Genomic DNA, 20,812 nt, shown 5'->3' on the forward strand with positions numbered 1-20,812 from the left:
CCTGATCTCCACAGCTCCTCGACCGGCTCCTCTGCCCTCTCCGTTCCACCACAGTCCTCCCCGATTCCTCCGCGGGTGTTATTACGTGATTCCGGCTTGGATTCCGGAATCCAGAACCCAGCACAGGACTGTAGGGATTCAATCAGATCCAGTTGGCGATAGGCGGCTTGGCCTGTCTGTTACTGCTTTACAAACTGAGAAGAAATAAAAAGAAAAAGAAAAAGAAAACCCGGTTTTATGACGCAGCAGTTAAAAACTATTTGTAGAAGTTGCTAAGGTTCAAATCAAAAGTGCCCTCTCTCGAGGACTATTAGTTAATTCAGAGGACCACAGATTCTTTCCTTTTCTTCCTTTTCCCCCTTCTACCTTGAAATGTAGCTGTAATTCATTTCTGCCGTTCATACAGCTAGAGCTTTCCATCCTGTGACAAACACAAGCCAAAGTGCTTAAGGACATCTGTTTATTTTATTTCTTTAACGAGAAAACCTTCCAATTTCTCCTGAGCTCAGCTGTGTTTATTTACATTTTCTTGGTCATGTGAGGCGAGCACCTTGGAAGTTTAAAGGCCTGGCCAGACCCTTGCAGGAGCCTGTAGCTCTGAAACGGAGAGGAAGCCCTGCCCAAGGAAAACAGAGTCCTTGGAACTCTATAAAATAGATTCTCAAAATAAATACTGCCTCATTCACTTGGTAGATGTGGATTAAGTCAAGATGAATACAATTTGAAAAGGATTTTCTGAGGAAGTCGGAGATTTCTTTCCCCCACTGGGGGTTAAACCTTGTATTTAAATCTCTCTTCCCCCTTCCCTCTCTCTTTTCAGCTGAGTAAAAGGTGTTTAGTCTTTGTGGCTAATAAAGAAAGGATGACTTTGATTGGGCTTCTCCAGCAGTGATTATTTTCTTTGCAGCACGGCTGGGAGAAGGAGAGTGACCTCACTAGTCACTCTGTCCCATCCTGTAAGGAGTGAGGGCAAGAAGCAAACATCTGCAGTTGTCATTTTGGCGGGGGTGGGTGAGGAAGAAGTTGGAACAGCCTTGAGAGATGTCCCGGAGGTGAATGACATTGTTTGAGGTGTTGGATGGGGGTGGTACCCTTTGTTGGCTTAATCCCTTATAATGATGCTTCCCTAAGCCAGGGACCTTCATGCCAAGTACCCCCGCTTATGTATTTTACAGCATTAAAGGATTATTTCCAACATAAAATATATTTTAAAGATGGTTTGGGGTTGTCAGAAAAGTGCTCATTAGCAGAGACTTTCTTTGAAGCCCTGTGCTCTCGGCCGCTTTGAGAGAGACCATTTCCTTATAGAATCACTCAACTTGGGTTGAGAGTTCTGAGCGAGTTAAGTCTCCTGACTATGCCTAATTTTCCGCCCACAGATTTAACAAACACAGACTGCTTCCCCAGACTTCCTTCGCCAACTTCCCCCGCTTTCTTGCCCCACCTCTCAGTGAATGCTGAAGGGCATCTGAAAGGAAAGAAAAAGGAGAGGGATTTAAATCCTCCATGCAAAACCTACAACAAATTGTCAGCTGGGTTGGAGTAAGAAGCTCCTTTGTCTTCTGTAAATATAGAGCTTGCTGCTCACGATGATAAGTGCTGAAAAAAATCCCAGGCACTCTGGGAACCTACATAATGGGAACAATTTTCCTTTACACTTAACTAGCAGGTTGAGAAGCCGTCTCCCCTCCAACTACTCACCTGCACTTTTTACACTACTTATTTCCCAACAATAGTGTTCTTCCAGCGTCCAAAGATTGCTGGTGATGAGGTGTCACCTGCTAAACGGCAGGAAGGTGTCAACGCCATTGTATTTGGGGTTGACTTTGACAGGGAAATAGGAGGTGTCCCCTCACCATGCCTGCTTCCCACACTTCCTCTGTGAATTCGTGAACTTTCAGGCCCCTCCGATGGCAGATGGGGAAAAGCTCCAATGGATGTCTCCCAGTGGGGCCTAATTCAAAGCAGAAATATGCAGTCTCGGAGTGGAAATGACCATCAATGGATGAATGGATAAATCATAGGATAGTCATACTCGTGGAATATGATTCAGCTATGAAAAGGAATGGGGTACTGATACATGCTACAACACACTTATGTCAAGTGAAAGAAGCCAGATACAGAAGGTCATATTTGTATGACTGTTTATATGAAATACCCAGAAGAGGTCAATCCTTAGAGCCAGAATGAAGACTGTTGGTTACTAGGGACTGGGGGTAGTGGGGAATGGGGAGTAAGTGCTTCTTGGGTACAGAGTTTCCTTTTAGGGTGATGAAAATGTTTTGGACCTAGGTGGAGGTGGTGGGTGCACAACATTGTACCCTAGATTCCACTGAAGTGTTCACTTTAAAGTGGTTCATTTTCACACCTGTAATCCCAGCATTTCAGGAGGCTGAGGTGAGAGGATAGCTTGAGCTTAGGAGTTTGAGACCAGCCTGGGCAACATAGTAAGAGCTTGTCGCTACAGAAAGAAAAATAAGTAAAATAGGCCGGGCACAGTGGCTCATGCCTGTAATCCCAGCACTTTGGGAGGCCAAGGCGGGCGGATCACCTGAGGTCAGGAGTTGAGACCAGCCTGGCCAACATGGTGAAACCCCGTCTATACTAAAAGTACAAAAATTAGCCGGGGCATGGTGGCACACACCTGTAGACCCAGCTACTCAGGAGACTGAGGCAGAAGAATTGTTTGAATCCAGGAGGCAGAGGTTGCAGTGAGCCAAGATTGTGCCATTGCACTCCAGCCTGGATGACAGAGCAAGACTCCGCCTCAAAAAAAAAATTAAATAAAATAGCCAGGCATGGTGGCGTGTGCCTGTGGTCCCAGCTACTCAGGAGGCTGAGGTGGGAGGATCGCTTGAGCCCAGGAGTTCAAGGCTGTGGTGAGCTATGATCGCACCACTGCACTCCAGCCTGGGCAACAGAGTGAGACCCCATCTCAAAAAAAAGGGTTTATTTTCAGTGCTATGGATTTTACCTAAATTTTTTAAAAAGAAAGAAAGAAAGAATCTCCTTGGGTAGTCACGTTTTGTTAGACCGCTGAGCCCAGGCTTGGTCTTGGTATGTGCTGCCATAGCCCGTGTGCCCAATGCGGTGGGGAAGTCGCTTCTTGCCATGGTGTCTGTTGTGACATTTCTGACTGGAATCCTGCCGGGTGATGTGACACTGTGGAGTCTAAAGGTCCCAGATCAAATCCCATCCCCACCACTTCCTGGAACAAGTCAGTTTTTTCCTAAGGTCTCAGTCTGTAAAATTGGAACAGCAGTTCTTGCCCTACTGACCTCATAAGACAAGCCCGAGAATGATTCTGTTTCCCAAAGGGCACTGAGAGTGCTCTGGAAGGAACGCACACGGTCTGGAGATAGCTAAAGATGAATATTTTTTACTTGGAAATTCAGATAGGACTTTTTGTTAGTTCTTGAGTTTGAATTTTATACTGTCATCATCTGGTTTTGGTGTCCAGATAATACTGGCCTCATCGAATGGGTTGGAAGTGTTCCCTCCTCATTAGTTTCTTGAAGAGATTGTGGAGAATTGGTGCTAATTCTTTTGGAATATTTGATAGCATTCTCCCCTGGAACCATCTAGCCCTTGCAGTTCTTTTTTGTTTTCTGGGAGGCTTTTAATTAGGAATTCAAGTTTGTTGTTGTTGTTGTTGTTGTTGTTGGGTTTTCTTTGAGACAGAGTCTTTCTCTGTTGCCCAGGTTGGAGTGCAGTGGCACAACCTCAGCTCACTGCAACCTCCACCTCCTGGGTTCAAGCTATTCTGCCTCAGCCTGCGGAGTAGCTGGGTCTACAGGCACCCGCCGCCACACTCAGCTAATTTTTGTATTTTTAGTTGAGACAGAGTTTCACCATGTTTGGCCAGGCTTGTCTCGAACTCCTGACCTCAAGTGATCCACCCACCTTGGCCTCCCAAAGTGCTGGAATTACACGCATGAGCCACCGTGCCCCGCCAGAATTCAATGTTTTCGTAGGGGTAGTTATTTCATCTTGGGTGAGTTTGGGTAGTTTATGGTCTTCAAGGAATTGATTCATTTCATTCGTTGTCAAATTTGTATGTGTACAGCTAAAAAACAAAATTGAAGTATCTACTTTTATGATGACTTTCAGTTTGTAGCATATAATCCATAATCAGAAACCTACAGTAGGCAGGAGGATCACTCGAGTCCAGGAGTTTGAGACCACCCTGGACAACATAGATCCTGTCTCTACAATTAAAAATAAAATAAATCTCTCTCCCCATGCATAGCACTGGGTCAGATCCTTTGCATGGGTCATCTCCTTGGTCTTCAACACGAACCTGCAAGCTAAACATAGTAATCCCCATTCAACCCAGAAGGACACAAGCTCTGCCCAAGACTACCACGCTGGGAAGTGGCAGAGAAGGGATCAGACCCAGAACTCCAAAGGCCATTCTAAACCCAACTGAGCTGACCAAGGCCCCAAGTTCCCTGGCCCAGCCCTCAAACTTGCCCTCCAACCCCAGCTCCTTCCTCGGCCAGACATCACACTGAGGGCATCTGCAGGCCACACCTGGCCCTTAAACATATCCTTTTTATTACTTTTAAAATTTGTTGCCAGCATTTAAAATCAGGATATTTCACATACAAATCCAGCTTTCTGGTTTCTTTTGAAAAATCAGAAGATCTGGGCATGCTGCACCCACAATCCCAAATGGCATCACTTGGCTGCAGCTGCCCAGAAACCACCCCCTATAAATGGCTCAGGTGTTCAGTTTGCCACAGTCCCCTCATTCCCTATCATCTCCCTAACATTAATGTCATCATGTTTCATTTTCTTCATAACATTTGTCACTCTCTGAAATGAAATGTTTCTTAGTTATTTTCTTGGTTTTTTTTTTTTTTTTTTTTTTGAGATGGAGTCTTATTCTGTCGCCTAGGCTGGAGTGCAGTGGCACGATCTCAGCTCACTGCAAGCTCTGCCTGCTGGGTTCATGCCATTCTCCTGCCTCAGCCTCCCAAGTAGCTGGGTCTACAGGCACCCGCCACCGCACCCGGCTAATTTTTTTTTTGTATTTTTTAGTAGAGATGGGGTTTCACCGTGTTAGCCAGGGTGGTCTCGATCTCCTGACCTCGTGATCCACCTATCTCGGCCTCCCAAAGTGCTGGGATTACAGGCGTGTTTCTTAGTTTTTTATGCCCTTCTCTGCCATTAGAATATAAGCTCCTTGAGGCAAGGGACTTTCAATATCTGAGAGCAAGGAGACAGCATTGCAAAGTGGTCAAGAGCAGAGGTCAGCAAACTACATCCATCCTATGGGCCAAATCTGCTCCCTCCCCACTCCCCCAGCTTGTTTTTTTAAATAAAGTTTTATTGTAACAGTCACACCCATTCGTTTACATCTTGTCTATGTCTGCTTTTGTGCTACCGCAGCAGAGTTGAATAGTTATGATGGAAACCATATGGGCCACAGAGCCTAAAATATATGCTTTCCAAACCTTTATAGAAAAAGTTCACCACCCCTGGTCTCAAGAGCCAGACTACTCAGATCCAAAGACAGCTCCACTTCCTAGCCATGTGACCTCAGACAAGTCACTTTGCCTTCCTGTGCCTCAGTTTTCACCTCTGTAGCATGGATGTAATAACAATAATACTCACCTTATAGGGTCACTGGGGGAGGATTACATGAGTTAATACATGTCGAGTGTTTGGAGCTGTACCTCCTATGTAGTAAAGAGTTTTTGTAGATAAGCAAATGACACTTTTTTTTTTAATTGACAGATAATAATTGTACACATTCATGGGGTACATGGTGATGTTTCGATGCATATAAAGTATAATGATCAGATCAGGGTAATTAACATATCCACCATCGCAAACATTTCTCATTTCTTTGTGTTGGGAATGTTTAATATCCTCCTTCTAGCTATTTGAAACTATATATTATTATTAAAATATTGTCATGAGTGGGGCAAGGTCAGATATAACCAGGTCCACGCACGTTTATGTCTTTCCACAAGGTCAGGCTTTCACTGATGCTATTTCAGTTATGAAAGCCACTAGCTAGAGGAAGACAAGAGAATGACCTGTCTGGAGTTCCCAAGGAGGCAATTCTCCTTAATATTACCCTTTCACTTGGTAGTCAGGGCCATGAGCACAAAAGGCTGAAACCACTCCACAAGTCAGTCAATATTGCAAACCATACATAATAGTATACTTAATTGATATATAAATGTTATAGATTAGAATTTCATGCCAAACAGCAACATTAGGCATCAAGAATAAAGGGGATATGAAAAGGGACTAACGGGCTGGGTACGGTGGCTCACGCCTGTAATCCCAGCACTTTGGGAGGCCGAGGCAGGCAGATCACTTGAGGTCAAGAGTTCAAGACCAGCCTGGCCAACATGGTGAAACCCCCGTCTCTACTAAAAATACAAAAATTAGACAGACCTGGTGGCACACACCTGTAATCCCAGCTACTTGGGAGACTGAGGCAGGAGAATCACTTGAACCCAAGAGGCAGAGGTTGCAGTGTGCCAAGTGCACTCCAGCCTGGGTGACAGAGTGAGATTCCATCTCAAAAAAAAAAAAAGGTGGGGGAGTGGGGGGCCTAATGAACCAGTCCAAGGAGAGTGACATGTAGAAGGAGAGAGTCCTGATCCGGGCACTTGCCAGTATCTTCCAAGAGTCCTTTATTTGGGCAGAGCCTTCAGCTTCAAATTCTGGGTGCTGATGACAAGTGACAGTGAGACAGAATGTGTTAAGATGTCAAGCTGGTGAGGTCCTGCTCATTTTATGACCCTTGAGTCCTCTGGTGAGGACTGGTGGTAAAGGGTTACACCCTTATCTGGTTGGGTGTTGTCTCTATTGATTAGGTAGACATCTGGACTCTTGTTGACTTGATGACTTTTAAAATGTAAGATGGAGTCTTTTTCTAAGATGGAGTCACTTATGTCAAGGGTGTGCTATACATATAGTATCTTTTAAAGAGCTGCATCTTTAGAAGCACATTGCTGGTTATGTAAGATGTTCTATCTGAGGAAGTGTGCTGAAGTGTGACGACTACTAATAATAAGCAGAAAGCACGTGGTGTTGATGGGGATGTTGTCAATGCTGATGGCAGCAGCGGGCACTTGCTGGGCATCAAACCCTGTTCTGAGTCCTTGGAATGACTTTCCATAAACAAACCCATCTCCCATGTCACCACATGCCCCTCAGCCCTGGGCAGTGACTCCTGTTAGGGTGATCATCTCATCCAGGTTTGTCTGTGACTTTCCCACTTGTAGCACTGGAAGTCCCAAGACCCAGGAAACCCCTCAATCCCAGGCAAATCAGGAGAGTTGGTCACTCTACTCCATATCCACAATCCATTTTATCTATTTATTTGTTATTTTTGCCTTTAAATTTATATCCTAGAAAAATACTTTAAAAGCTGCTAGACATGTCCAGCTGAAAGAACATTCTTCAAAGATTAAAAAAAAAAAAATTCTAAGAGGCTGAATAGTTGCACAAAACCCCAAAAGAGGAACCGGTTTCAACATCTTTCTTTGTTCTCTTAAATTTGACCATGATTTCATCATTTGTCATGAGTTTGACTCTTGTGATTCAGCGATGATGGAATGTATCCTACAGTCTTTTGGTTAAGTTTTTTTTTTTTTTTTTTTTTTTTGAGACAGAGTCTTGCTCTGTTGCCCAGGCTGGAGTGCAGTGGCACTATCTCGGCTCACTGCAAGCTCCACCTCCTGGGTTCACGCCATTCTCCTGCCTTAGCCTCCCGAGTAGCTGGGACTACAGGCACCTGCCACTATGCCCGGCTAATTTTTTTTGTATTTTTAGTAGAGATGGGGTTTCACTGTATTAGCCAGGATGGTCTTGATCTCCTGACCTCGTGATCCGCCCGCCTCGGCCTCCCAAAGTGCTGGGATTACAGGTGTGAGCCACCTGCCTGGCCAGTTAAGTTCTTGTTAGTACAGATAGACCCATTATCTTTTCTATTTTTGGTGTTCTCCCACAAAACTGTCGAAGAAGCCAAGTTTTTTTTTAACTTTACTGTTTAAACATGTGAATCAACTTATTTTTTCTTTATCAGCATCATTTTCTTGTCTTCCTCTAAAAAAAATTTTTTTAAACAAGCTGATCTGCCTTCCAAAAGTTTCCAAGTAATTAAACCCAATTAAAACCATTAAATTCTTTCTTTTAATGACAACTTTATTATTAAAAGCTAACCACAAGGAGGAGATTTAACTGGCAAAGCTCTCTGTTGTGTGTTAATCCATTCCTGACCTCTGGCTGACACTTCCAAGAGATAAACCCCACAGAATAGGGAGCTGGTTTAATGAACAGCTTTAATTAATACTTTTCTTCCTTGTGGCAGAGTAATTATTTGTTCAACTTGTAAACAGCTCCTTGGCGGTGATTTTTTAAAGACCCAGTTGGCTTGGATAGTGTGATGGTTTTGATGTGTTTTGTGTGTTTGTGTGTGTTTTTTTTTCTTTAAAAGAGAGAGGGGAGGAGATCTCCATTCCAGGATTGGTGCTGAAGCACATGTGTCCTGAAGTTCAGGACGTCAGGGTAATTGACACAGAAGAAAAGTGAGGCGAAGGCAGGCAGCAAGCTGCCTGTATTTTTGAGACATCTCCAGAGAGGGCAGGTCTGCAGACGGGCAGGTCTGCACTTTGCAGCAACAGTCTGCAAGCCCAGACAAGGCCCCCAAGGAGACACAAGCCCAGCCCAAATGCAGTCTGAGTGTTAAGAAAGGAAAGGGCCTGGGATTGCAAAGCGCGAGGCCAAACGCCTCCCCCGACCTTCCCTTCGCGTGGCACCTGAGAAAGGGGCAGCCCAGTGCAAATGCTAGGTGTGACCAACCAGGCCCCGGAGAAGCGATTCTGTGAACAAGGATGACTAGCCCGCTAGTAGTGCTTGCCGCAAGCCGCCCATGCATCCCAAGTGCTTTCCACCCATCACCTCCCTAACCTGTCTCAGGGAGGTAGATGCCGTGGGTTTTCGTGAGGTTAAGTGGCCTGTCCCAAGTCACGTACCTTCTAGCAATAAGGGCAGAGCGCAGATTGCAGCCAGCTGTCTGGCTGCAGGAGTCAGTCCTAACTACTGGGCAGAGCTGCCCCTTGAGACAAGAAAGTGGCACCTCCCACTCAGCTGGCGGGGAGAGACTTAGGTTTGTTTTTTTTCATTTAGTTCATCTCTTAGTTAGAAAGCTGGTTTCATTAACAAGTTAGAAAGTTAGTTTCATTGCCCACTCTGTAATTCCAAAGTTAATTTACTAACACTAAGGACCAAGCTTTTTCATTATTTTAAAAATCATTTAGAGGAGTGATTCTCAACTAGGGGTGATCTTGTCCCTCAGAGGACATTTGGTGACGTCTGGAGACATTTTTGACTGTCACAACTGGGTAGGCGTGCTACTGAATTTAGTGGGTAGAGGCCACGGATGCTGCTCAAATTCCTACAACCCACAGGATGGAACTACAACGTGGAATTATCTGGCTCAAAATGCCAACAGTGCCAAAGCGGAAAAACCCTGATTTGTAGAATCCTCAAATGTTTCATTCTTATATAATTACTCAGACTTTTCATTCTTGTAGAATGCTCAAATGCTCACTCTAGAAGCAATTTGTAAACACACAAAAGCAATATTAATGCACCCATCAGTCCCCACCCCACCCCCTCAAAATTAGGCTGAATCTCTTATAAAAAAAAAAAGTTAATTAATTAACTTAGTGAATTTGTTAACCAGGCCACCAGAAATTCTTCAGAAACACATCTAAAGTGCCACTAACTGTTCTCAACTGAACAGTTAGTTACGGATGAAATTGTTAGTACAAGAATATTTGAAGACAGTCCCCAAATTCCCAAACATCTACCTCTACTTATTATGCAAGTTTCCTTAAGAAAATGCTTATGTGGCCAAGCTCGGTGGCTCATGCTTGTAATCCCAGCACTTTGGAAGGCCGAGGCGAGAGGATCACCTGAGGTCAGGAGTTCGAGACCAGCCTGGCCAACATGGTGAAATCCCATCTCTACTAAAAATACCAAAATTAGCCAGCTGTAGTGGCACACACCTGTAATCCCAGCTACTCAGGAGGCTGAGGCAGGAGAATCACTTGAACCCGGGAAGCAGAGGTTACAGTGAGCCAAGATAACAAAAAAGAAAAGAAAATATGTATGAAGAGCACAAAGCAGATTAACTAATTTCACCCTCTGAGCCTCCTTGGGCTGAGGGATGTGTTCAGAGATCTCTGATGCCTCTTTGGGGCTCCCAAGACTCTCCTCCCCAAGGGCTCAGAGCTGTGTCTGAAGCTGGAAAGATAAGCAGACAGTCCTGGAGGGCTTAATCCTGGGACTGGGTTGAGTCCAATGCTTAAGATGTCAGAATTCAAGCTTCTTAGAGCAAGGGCCGTAGGCTTCGTGTTTCTATCTGGAAGGACTGACCGTGGCATCCCACCTGCAAGACCCTTGACAAGAGCGAAACAGACAGCTAGCGTTGCTGACAGACCAAGACATTATTCAGAGAGTGTTGCTGTTTTCTGAAAATTATCTTTGGATATGTTGCATTTGATAAGATTAATGGATCTAAAGAGGCCCTAAAGTTAATCTTTTCACAAACACACCTGTTTTTGACTCCTAGGGTGACATCCTAGAAAGACATGGGCTACAAGTAAGTGAGGGGAAAGGCTGGGAGCAGAGAGAGATGGTTCTGAGCCCTTCGGGGGCAGCTAAAATGAGCTGATTTCCAATCGCGGCCAAGGTGTCTGGTTCCCGCAGAGCCATTCCCGGCCTTTGGCAGGCAGCAAATGGCAGCTGACAAGGAAGGGATTTTCCAGTTAGCTTTGCCTTTTCATATCAAGTCCAGGAAATTAAAGACACACATACTCCACAGCAATAAGGGGAGACGGTTTCCCACCCTGTGGGCTCTCCTTTTGTCCCCTCCAAAGACCAGCATTGCAGTTATCAGAGAGGAAAGCCAGCCTGAGACCTGAGAAAAGAATCAGGGCTGATTTTTAGGTGGCAGCTGCCTGCCGTTTCTCCTCACTTTGGAAGTGTAATTGTCATTAAACATGTTGTTTGTTTCATTAAAAGTAGACATCAACAGTTACAAATCAGGCATTTACGAAAAAAAAAAAAATCTGGTGGTTATCTGCCCTAAGCTTTTTTTTCCTAATAAATCATTTCATTTTATGTTACTAGTTCCCATGAAGATATATTTATGAGTAAAATGGTTAAGATTTTGGATTCTTGAGTTAGACAGTCCTAGATTTGAATCCCAGCTCTGCCACTTATTGGCAGCGTGACCTTGGACAAGTCACTTCATCAGTCTGAGTTTTGATTTATCTGTAAAACAGGGAAAAGATATTTTGAGGAGGAAATGGGATAATGTACACAAAGTTCACACATATTCATATATTCATTTAAAATAAAAAAATGGCCAGGCACGGTGGCTCATGCCCATAATCCCAGCATTTTGGGAGGCCGAGGTGGGTGGATCACTTGAGGCCAGAAGTTTGAGACAAGCCTGGCCAACATGGTGAAACCCTGTCTTCATTAAAAAATACAAAAATTAGCCGAGCATGGTGGCATGTGCCCATAGTCCCAGCTACTCAGGAGGCTGAGGCAGGAGAATCACCTGAACCCAGGAGGCGGAGGTTGCAGTGAGCCAAGATCATGCCACTGCACTCCAGCCTGGGTAACACAGCAAGACTCTTGTCTCAAAAAAAGAAAATAAATTAACCAAGCATCTGCCATTCAAGCTCTGATCTAGGTATGAGGGACACAGTAATAGCTCCCATGGAGTTTGCCTCCTACTTAGAGGAGAAGCACAAAAAATTATAAATAAATAAATAAGAGCATTTCAGTCAATGATAAATGCTGTTTAAAACTGCAACAGAGTAATGGGATGTGGAGTGAGTGGGGAGGAGTATGTTAGTTTATTTCATAGGGAATGGTCAGAGAAGACCTTTCTGGCATTGAAAGTGGGAATGGAATGTTACAAAGGATCCAGCCCTGAAAGAGCCTGGGAAGAGGGGATTTCAGGCTGAGGAACAGCATGTGCAAAGGCCCTGAGGCAGGAGCAAGTTTGGCAGATTCAAGGCAGAGTGGAAGAGTAGGTGGTTACTAGAGCACATGAGGCCACTAGAAGACGGTGGCTTTACTCAGAGGGCCAGGGGAAGCCAGTGGGTTTTAAGTGAAAAGCACAGCTCTGATAGTTGTTTTAAAAAGAGCACTCTGGCTGCTGTGTGGACAACAGACATGGGGGACAAGGGAGGCTAGCTGCCTTTATAGTGGCCCAGCACACAGAGGGGCTCCTTGTCTTCCTCCCTCACCGCCCCCCTCTCTTGGTGATGGACTGAAGGTGCCTTGGAAATAAGATAAATGACAACATGCAAATAAAGTGCTGAGCGCAGGAGCAGGTGCATAGTAGACCATCCAACCAGCAAAGCTCTGATAAGAATTATTATTTTGGGGAACTATCTCTTAATCCCTTGCTCCTTGGAAAACCTGGAAGAAATCAGGCAATTGGGGTATAAGGACCAGGTGAAGTGCTAGAGCCCTCAGGTCAGGGGAGCAGTTGTGCCCCCCACCCCAGTCACATGCATGTCCCCCTCCAACCCCCACCACGGATCAGATCAAATGAGGATGGCTAGCATCAGGGTCTGAGTCACTGCCTTAGCTGCCAGTTTTTCCTAAAGCAGATTTCAACCTTGAAATAAATCTCTTAAAATGCCTTTTTTATGATCCCAAAATGAAAACCCCAAATAATATAGCTGACCACTCACTACTTTAAAAAAAATGAATGTAGTATCCTAACTGTAACTTAACGGAAAGAAATAAAAGAAGGTTTATTTTCTTTTTTTTTTTTTTTTTTTTTGAGACAGAGTCTTGCTCTGTAGCCCAGGTGGGAGTGCAGTGGCACAATCTCGGCTCACTGCAAGCTCCGCCTCCCAGGTTCACGCCATTCTCCTGCCTCAGCCTCCCGAGTAGCTGGGACTACAGGCGCCCGCCATCACGCCCCGCTAATTTTTTTGTATTTTTAGTAGAGGCAGGGTTTCACCATGTCAGCCAGGATGGTCTCGATCTCCTGACCTCGTGATCCACCCGCCTCGGCCTCCCAAAGTGCTGGGATTACAAGCGTGAGCCACCGCGCCCGGCCGAGAAGGTTTATTTTCTAAAAATATGTATTTCAGTATGTAAATGCTCAAACATGACCGCAATAGAAGACATGACAAAGGAGTCTGATACTACCACCCACTTCTCATTTAAAAGGTTGCATTTCAGAGAACTAGGAAGATCTGGGGCTCTTCTCTACTAGAAGTAAAGGAAAATGGAAGAACAGAGATGGGATGGACCATGGGATACAAACAAGTATATTCAGTATTTATCAAAACCATGCAAAGCCCGGGCGAGGTGGCTCATGCCTATAATCCCAACACTTTGGGAGGCCAAGGTAGGCAGATCACCTGAGGTCAGGAGTTCAAGACCAGCCTGGCCAACATGGTGAAACCCCATCTCTACTAAAAATACAAGAATTAGCCAGTGTAGTGGCGGGTGCCTGTAATCCCAGCTACTCAGGGGGCTGAGGCAGGAGAATCACTTGAGCCCAGGAGGTGGAGGTTGCAGTGAGCTGAGACTGCGCCATTGCACTCCAGCCTGGGCTACAAGAGCGAAACTCCATCTCAAGAAAAAAAAAATCAAAAATACTCTATGTTTACTTCTATAAAGGAGTTAGATTCTAGGCTCAGATCATTAGAAACAGGTTTTTCACAACGTGAGTGTTCATCAGGAGATATGAAAGTCACATGGGTTGTGGGACAATTTTTCTTTCTGTACAACTTCCTACAGTGCATTAGAAGACATTAATATCCTTGGCACCCCCAAATACCACTATCCCTCTCAACTATTACAACGAACAAAATGCTTCCCCCACAAATTTCCAAACCACTGTCTAGGCGGAGGTGCCACACCTGCCGAGAACCACTGCCCTAAAACAGATTCATGGATGATATACTCAAAATAACCGCATTTGGCAATTTTATAATTGCATGCTGTGGTGGGCAGACAAATGGCACCCCAAAGACGTCCACATCCTAGTCCCCAGAATCTGTGGCTGTTAACCTTCTATGGCCAAAGGGACTTTGCAGCTGTGATTATGTGTCCCTAATGTAATCAGAAGGGTTTTTATAAAAGGGAGGGTGGTCAAAGTGGGCGGTAGGAGATGTGAGGCCAGAAGCAAGATATTGGAGTGACATGAGGAAGGGGCCATGAGCCCAGGAATGCAGGTGGCCTCTAGCAGCTAACACAAGCAAGGAAACAGTCTTCTCCTCTGAAGCCTTCAAAGGAACGCAGCCCTGCAGACACCTCTCATCTCTAGAACTATTAGAGAATAAGTGTACATTGTTTAAAGCCACTAAGTTTGTGCTAATGTGTTATGGCAGCCACGGGAAACTATATTACATGTGTTTATATTCATGGTGACTTCCCATTTATGGTGACTACACCAGGTTTTCTATTTATGATCATGATAACAAGTTTCTTTCTAAACTAAAATGCACTTAGATTTTGTTTTTGTCTTTGAAACAGGGTCTCACTCTGTTGCCCAGGCTGGAGTGCAGTAGCGCAATCATAGTTCACTGTCACCTCAACCTCCCAGGCTTGAGCAATCCTCCTGCTAGGACTGTAGGCACACACCACCACGCCCAGCTAATTTTTTAATTTTTTGTAGAGATGAAGTCTTACTATGTTGTCCAAGCTGGTCTTCAGTTCCTGGGCTCAAGCGATCCTCCTGCCTCAGCCTCCCAAAGCACTAGATTATGAGCGTGAGCCACCATGCCCCCAGCGAGGTGTTTTAGAAGGAGGGAGTAGCCAAATTAAAGGAAAATATTAAGTTAATAATAACACAGCTACTCTGTAGCTTGGCAGAACTTGCAAAGGTGTTCCAAGAATGGCCCTAGTTTGGAAAATAACAGGTTAAACTATCGCATGGGAATTTCTCAGCGGGAGAAGTCTTCTGTTGGAAGCTTCTGAATGCTGCTGCTTTTTGTTAGTAATACCTAGGCACCAGGTGTTTTGCAAGACACACCACACACAAATCCTCAGGAGCCCTGGAAAGGACTCACTGCTTATGTTCAGCTGAAGAAACTGAGGCCCAGGGAGAGTGAACATCTCCTTCAAGGTGATGTACCTGGGGAATGGCAGTCCCAGGATTTGAACCTGGGTCCTGCCAACTCCATGGGTGATGCTCTCAACCACTTTGCTTCATGGAGATTCTTGTCTATGGCCACATTCATGGATACCTTGTGAATGATGGAGGCAATTTGTGGTGGCCATTTGGGTGAGTCCCTTGCCCCATTAGGCAATGCTTGTATAAGGGAGAGGTTACTCTTTTCAGACTACATAATAACCCAGGCCCTTCCATGGACTTGGCTTAAATCACCTTGGGGTGGGGGTAGCAAGAGGTGCCATCAGAAGAGAAGACAGTCTTTCCAAAGTGCTTCCTGGCAAAGCTCGACCATTGCTAAGATGTAAAGAAACACTTGGGCTTGCTCAGCAGGCCTTGTCTATGCCGCAAACACCCGTTTTTGCTTGGAATTGGCACGTTGCATGCTGAGTTAAGAATCTTTTGATTATAAGCGACAGAAATTCAATGCACATCAGCTTAGGCCAAAAAGGAGAATTTGTTCATGTCACCAAGATGTCCAAACGTAGACCTAAAGCAAGGTGGGATCCAGCTCCCTAAATATTTTCATATGAATCTGTGTGCACTGTCAGGAAGGCTCTGCCTGTAGGGTGACAGAGATGGCTGCCGGCATCCTTGAGCCTAGATCTACCAGCTCAGCCACCCCAGGAAAAAAAGGTGCCTCTCCCAGGAGTCATAGCTAAAGTCCTCAGGCCAATGCCCATTGGCTCATAATCATCCTTGAATCAATCACTATGATTCTAGCCAGGGATGGGTTATGAGATCACCCTGAAAGACCCATAATGGGTGTTATTTTTACTAAAAATTATTAACTGCTAATTTACGGATGTGACTGCTCATTCTCAGAGAGATTGGGTATCTCCACAATAGCATGCTGCCTCCTTTGCTAACCGGTTGTTTTTTGAAGGTGTCTAATAAAGACACTGTGTTGGGAATCCCCAAGACCACCTTCGGCCTCAATGATTGACTAGAACTCACAAGGCTCAGAGAAGCTGTTAGACTCACAGTTACAGTTATTACAGTAAAAGGACACAGATTAAAATCTGCAAGGGGAAGAGGCACATGGGGTGAAATCCAGGAAAGACCAGGCACAATCTTCCGGGAGTCCTCTCCCAGGGGAGCACGGACACTCCACCTAATTCTCCCAGCAACAATGTGTGCGAACACATGCCAAGTGTTGCCAACCAGGGAAGCCCACTTGAGCCTTGATGTCCAGGGTCTTATTGGGGGTCAGTGACATAGGCATGCGACACCTAAGTAACTGACCTCAGCCACTCAGACACCAGCACCCCAGAGCAAAAATAGACATTCACCATAAACTACATTCTTAGCCTAAACTATCTCAAGTGGAAGTGCATGGTGTGGCCCAAGGGCTTGGAGCTCATGCACCAGGAACTGGCCAAGGGCCAGCCCTGAAGACAGACATTTCTTAAGGAATGTGCAGGGTTTGAGCAACCCAGGCCTGCTGAGTTAACCCTTTCCTGCACAGCCAGCCTCTAAATCTTTATAGCAGACCCCAAATGAAATCAGCTAAATGGCTCTTCCCAAGTAAAGACCACCAGATAGCGTAGATGTCTGGTGCACTTGGAGATTCCACAGAGGGGACAGCACATCCCTTCTGCCCAGTCATGCAGCTGAGCCATGGAAGGCAGACGCTCCCTCAGAGCAAAAAAGCCATGACAGGGGTGGTGGCCTAACCAGAGGATTATGGAGTCTGGAGTCAGATTAGACCTGAGTTCAGTGCCAACACTTTCTCTTACAAGCTAAGCAACATTGAACAAGCTACACAGTAATAATAGTAACAGTAATAGCAATATAAACAGTAGCTATTATTAAGCTAACATTTATTCAGACCTTGCTATGTTCCAGGCATGGTTTTAAGCACTTAAACAGTCATTAATTTATTGTTTTTAATTTTTTTTACATGGTCACAGTAAGAAATACATTTTACACTATAACCCACCACATACACACACACACACAAACACACACACACCCCAACTGGAATAGGTGTTCACCATTGCTGTGTATGATAGATTCTGATAGTTCGTTGTCTATTGTAGGAATTAACAAACTTTTCCTATAAAGGGATAATAAATATTTTAGGATTTCAGCTAGGTCCTGTGGTGACTACTCAACTATGCCATTGTACCATGAAAACAGCCATAAATAAACATTAAGTGATCAAATGGGCACTGCTAGGTTCCAACAAAACTTTATTTACAAAAACAGACAACGGGCCGGGTGCAGTGGCTCACGCCTGTAATCCCAGCACTTTGGGAGGCTGAGGCGGGCGGATCATGAGGTCAGGAGATCAAGACCATCCTGGCTAACGTGGTGAAACCCCGTCTCTACTAAAAATACAAAAAATTAGCCGGGCGTGGTGGCGGGCACCTGTAGTCCCAGCTACTTGGGAGGCTGAGGCACAAGAATGGCGTGAACCCAGGAGGCGGAGCTTGCAGTGAGCCGAGATCACGCCACTGTACTCCAGCCTGGGCGACAGAGCGAGACTCCATATCAAAAAAAAAAAAAAAAAAAAAAACAGACAACAGGCCATAGTTCCATAGTTTGCTGACTCCTGGGTTCTATTATATTTCTTCCAGTCTTTTTTTTAATGCTGTTCATTAAACTTTCACTAAAAGGATTATAACCTGCACTTTTACAAAAACGTATTTAATCTTTACAACAATCCTATCAGGTATATAAGCCCATTTTACAGATGAGAAACTGAGACACACTGAAGTTAAGTAACTTGTAAGAAGTGGAACTGGCCTTGATCAGAGGTAGTCTGGCTTAGAGCCCACCTTCTTCACCTGTACAACAAAGCACTCACTAGAGATTGGCCATTATCATTATCAACATTATTATTAATTATTATTATTATTATTATTCAGCCAGGAGTTAAGTTATGAAGGAACTCATATTTGAATTATGAAGGAACTCAAAATCCCACAGTCACATAAACCAGTTTCAGGATGAAATCGGCATGCCTTCCTTTTGTTCAAAGGGTTGTACAGCTAATTAGTATGTAAATCTCACTTCTTTGAATTGAACACATTTTAGAGTCATCTATTACAAAAGTGCTGCATGCTTGAAACAGAAAGCTTGCAAAATCTGTAATCTCAGCACTTTGTGAGGCTGAGGCAGGAGGATCACTTGAGGCCAAGAATTCAATACCAGCCTGGGCAACATAAGGAGACCCTGTCTCTACAAAAAAAAAAAAAAAAAAAAAAACAAACAAACAAACAAAAAACTAATTAATTAATTAATTAGCTAGGTATGGTGGTGCAAGCCTATAATCCTAGCTACTCAGGAGGCTGAGGTGTGAGGATCAAGAAGATCAAGGCTGCAGTGAGCTATGGTCATGCCACTGCACTCCAGCCTGGGTGACATAGGTAGTAGACCTGTCTCAAAAAAGAAAAGAAAGAAACAGAAAACTTGGAAAATCCAGGAAAAAAAGTCTTTAATGGATAGAGTTCTGATTCATTAAAACAATTTTTTGGTAAAAATCTATATGTGTTATTTTGAAATGAGAACAGTTACCTCCTAATCTATGTGGACTGGGAAGTAGACTTACAATACGGCATAAATTGGAGAGCTGATAAATTTGAGGATGGTAGAGACACTTGATAGAAAACAACTGTTTAGTCTTAATTAACTATGAATAACTTTGGCATTCACGTTTTGAAACTCATTCATGTTTGCTTTACATCAGATTAATTTTATTTTAAGAAAGATTTTTGTATACTCTTATCCTCTCCCTTTCATCCAAGAAATACAACCATACATCCCAAGATAGTGATCCACGAGGCAGATCTTTGGGCCGCCTACGTGGTGAAAGGCCCCACCAACCTCCTATAATTCAGAGAACTTTGCCTGTAATTCCAGCACTTTGGGAGGCTGAGGCAAGAGGATCACTTGAACCAAGGAGTTTGAGATTACCCTGGGCCACATAGCAAGACCCTGTCTCTACACAAAATAAAATATAAGCCAGGTGTGCTAGCACACGTCTCTAGTCCTAGCTACTTGGGAGGCTGAGGCAGGAGGACTGTTTGAGTCCAGGAGTTCAAGGCTGCATTGAGCTATGGTCACACCACTGCACCCCAGCCTGGGTGACAGGGGAGACCCTGTCTCAAAAAAAAAAAAAAAAGAACTTCATCAAGAATGCATAATAGTTATATTACTGAGCTGCCATCCAGGTCCATAGCCTCTCTCCTGAAGGGCAGTTCCAACTCGAAACCTCTTCACCAGCCTCCCACACAAGTATGCAGAGCCCACCACACCATCATAAAAACTGAACCCGGAGAAATCTGTAGAACATTAGGGCACGCTAAGAAAATCTACAGCGTCTTTGTCTGATCCGTACCTTCGCCTCAAGAGAACCACCCACAAGTTCTCTAGTCAAACAAAGATGACATTCCATCCACCCCCACCCCTTAGCCCCCAGCATGGTCCTTCCCAGGATGAGTTACACATTGAAGCCTGTTTTGGAAAAACTACCTCCTCTCAGTTCATTCTGGTTTAAATTGATTTTTTTTAAAGTAATCCACTTATGCTGTTGCTTGTTTAGGAAATTAACCACTGTTGTTTTTTGTTTTTTAATCCAAAGAATATGTAATGCTTCAGAAAATGGGTTTCATGTAAGTGGCATGTTAAAAGCTTTTGTACCAACTGATGTGGGGTCTTCCTGCTGGGTTCGCAGAAACGATTCTTTGCTTAAAGGCTCAAGGAAGGGGACTGGGGGATTTTGACAATAACCAATGCTTGTGGAGTGCCTGCTGCAGTCCAGGCCTGGGCTAGGTGCTTCCACACGTGCTGTCTGATTTAATCCTCACTGCAATGTTAGGTCTTAGAGGGATCAGGCTGGACTTGAAGGGGTCAGTGGCCCGAAAGAGCATGGTGTGAAAGCTGTCTATTTTAGGCTTTATTTGACTGGGAGAAGTTCTGGGTCAGACAGAGGGTTGCCTCCAAGCTGTCCTCTGTGACTAAAGTCAAGACACCAGGATGGAATATTTATGGTTTATAGTAGGGCTGCATTCAGCAGGCAGCCCAGGATGAAACTGATGGCTTTTGTCTTGTCCTCACTCCAGATGTATTTCACATAAATTAATACTGAGTCACCACCAAATTTTTTTTTCTTTTAGTTTCTTGCTCTCTGCAACCCTGGAAAAACATTTCCTACTTGGATAAACTATGCAGCCATAAAAAATGATGGGTTCATGTCCTTTGTAGGGACATGGATGAAATTGGAAATCATCATTCTCAGTAAACTATCGCAAGAACAAAAAACTAAACAGCGCGTATTCTCACTCATAGGTGGGAATTGAACAATGAGAACACATGGACACAGGAAGGGGAACATCACACTCTGGGGACTGTTGTGGGGTGTGGGGAGGGGGGAGGGATAGCTTTAGGAGATATACCTAATGCTAAATGACGAGTTAATGGGTGCAGCACACCAGCATGGCACATGTATACATATGTAACTAACCTGCACATTGTGCACATGTACCCTAAAACTTAAAGTATAATAATAATAAACTAAAAATTAAAAAAAAAAAAGTGTTCTGACCCAGGGCAACACTGTGTTACTTGACTCCTGAGTTAGCCTTGCTTTTCTGAGGCTATTCCAGACTTTTCTGC

General features: G+C 44.4%; 1 protein-coding gene across 5 annotated transcripts in view, besides 1 other annotated feature; it reads left to right on the forward strand.

Annotated features, from left to right (window-relative positions):
- EYA2 (EYA transcriptional coactivator and phosphatase 2) overlaps positions 1-20,812 on the forward strand; it is a 294,002-nt gene that overhangs the window by 222,596 nt on the left and 50,594 nt on the right. The window lies entirely within an intron of this gene.
- Positions 8,286-8,799: an enhancer, noted in NCBI's record as "H3K4me1 hESC enhancer chr20:45754363-45754876 (GRCh37/hg19 assembly coordinates)". NCBI's record gives its function as "activates a minimal SCP1, AML or CMV promoter by ChIP-STARR-seq in naive H9 embryonic stem cells {active_cell/tissue: H9 hESC(naive)}" and the evidence as "EXISTENCE:reporter gene assay evidence [ECO:0000049][PMID:30033119]".

This window comes from Homo sapiens, chromosome 20 (genome assembly GCF_000001405.40).
Source record: "Homo sapiens chromosome 20, GRCh38.p14 Primary Assembly".
Taxonomy (NCBI): domain Eukaryota; kingdom Metazoa; phylum Chordata; class Mammalia; order Primates; family Hominidae; genus Homo; species Homo sapiens.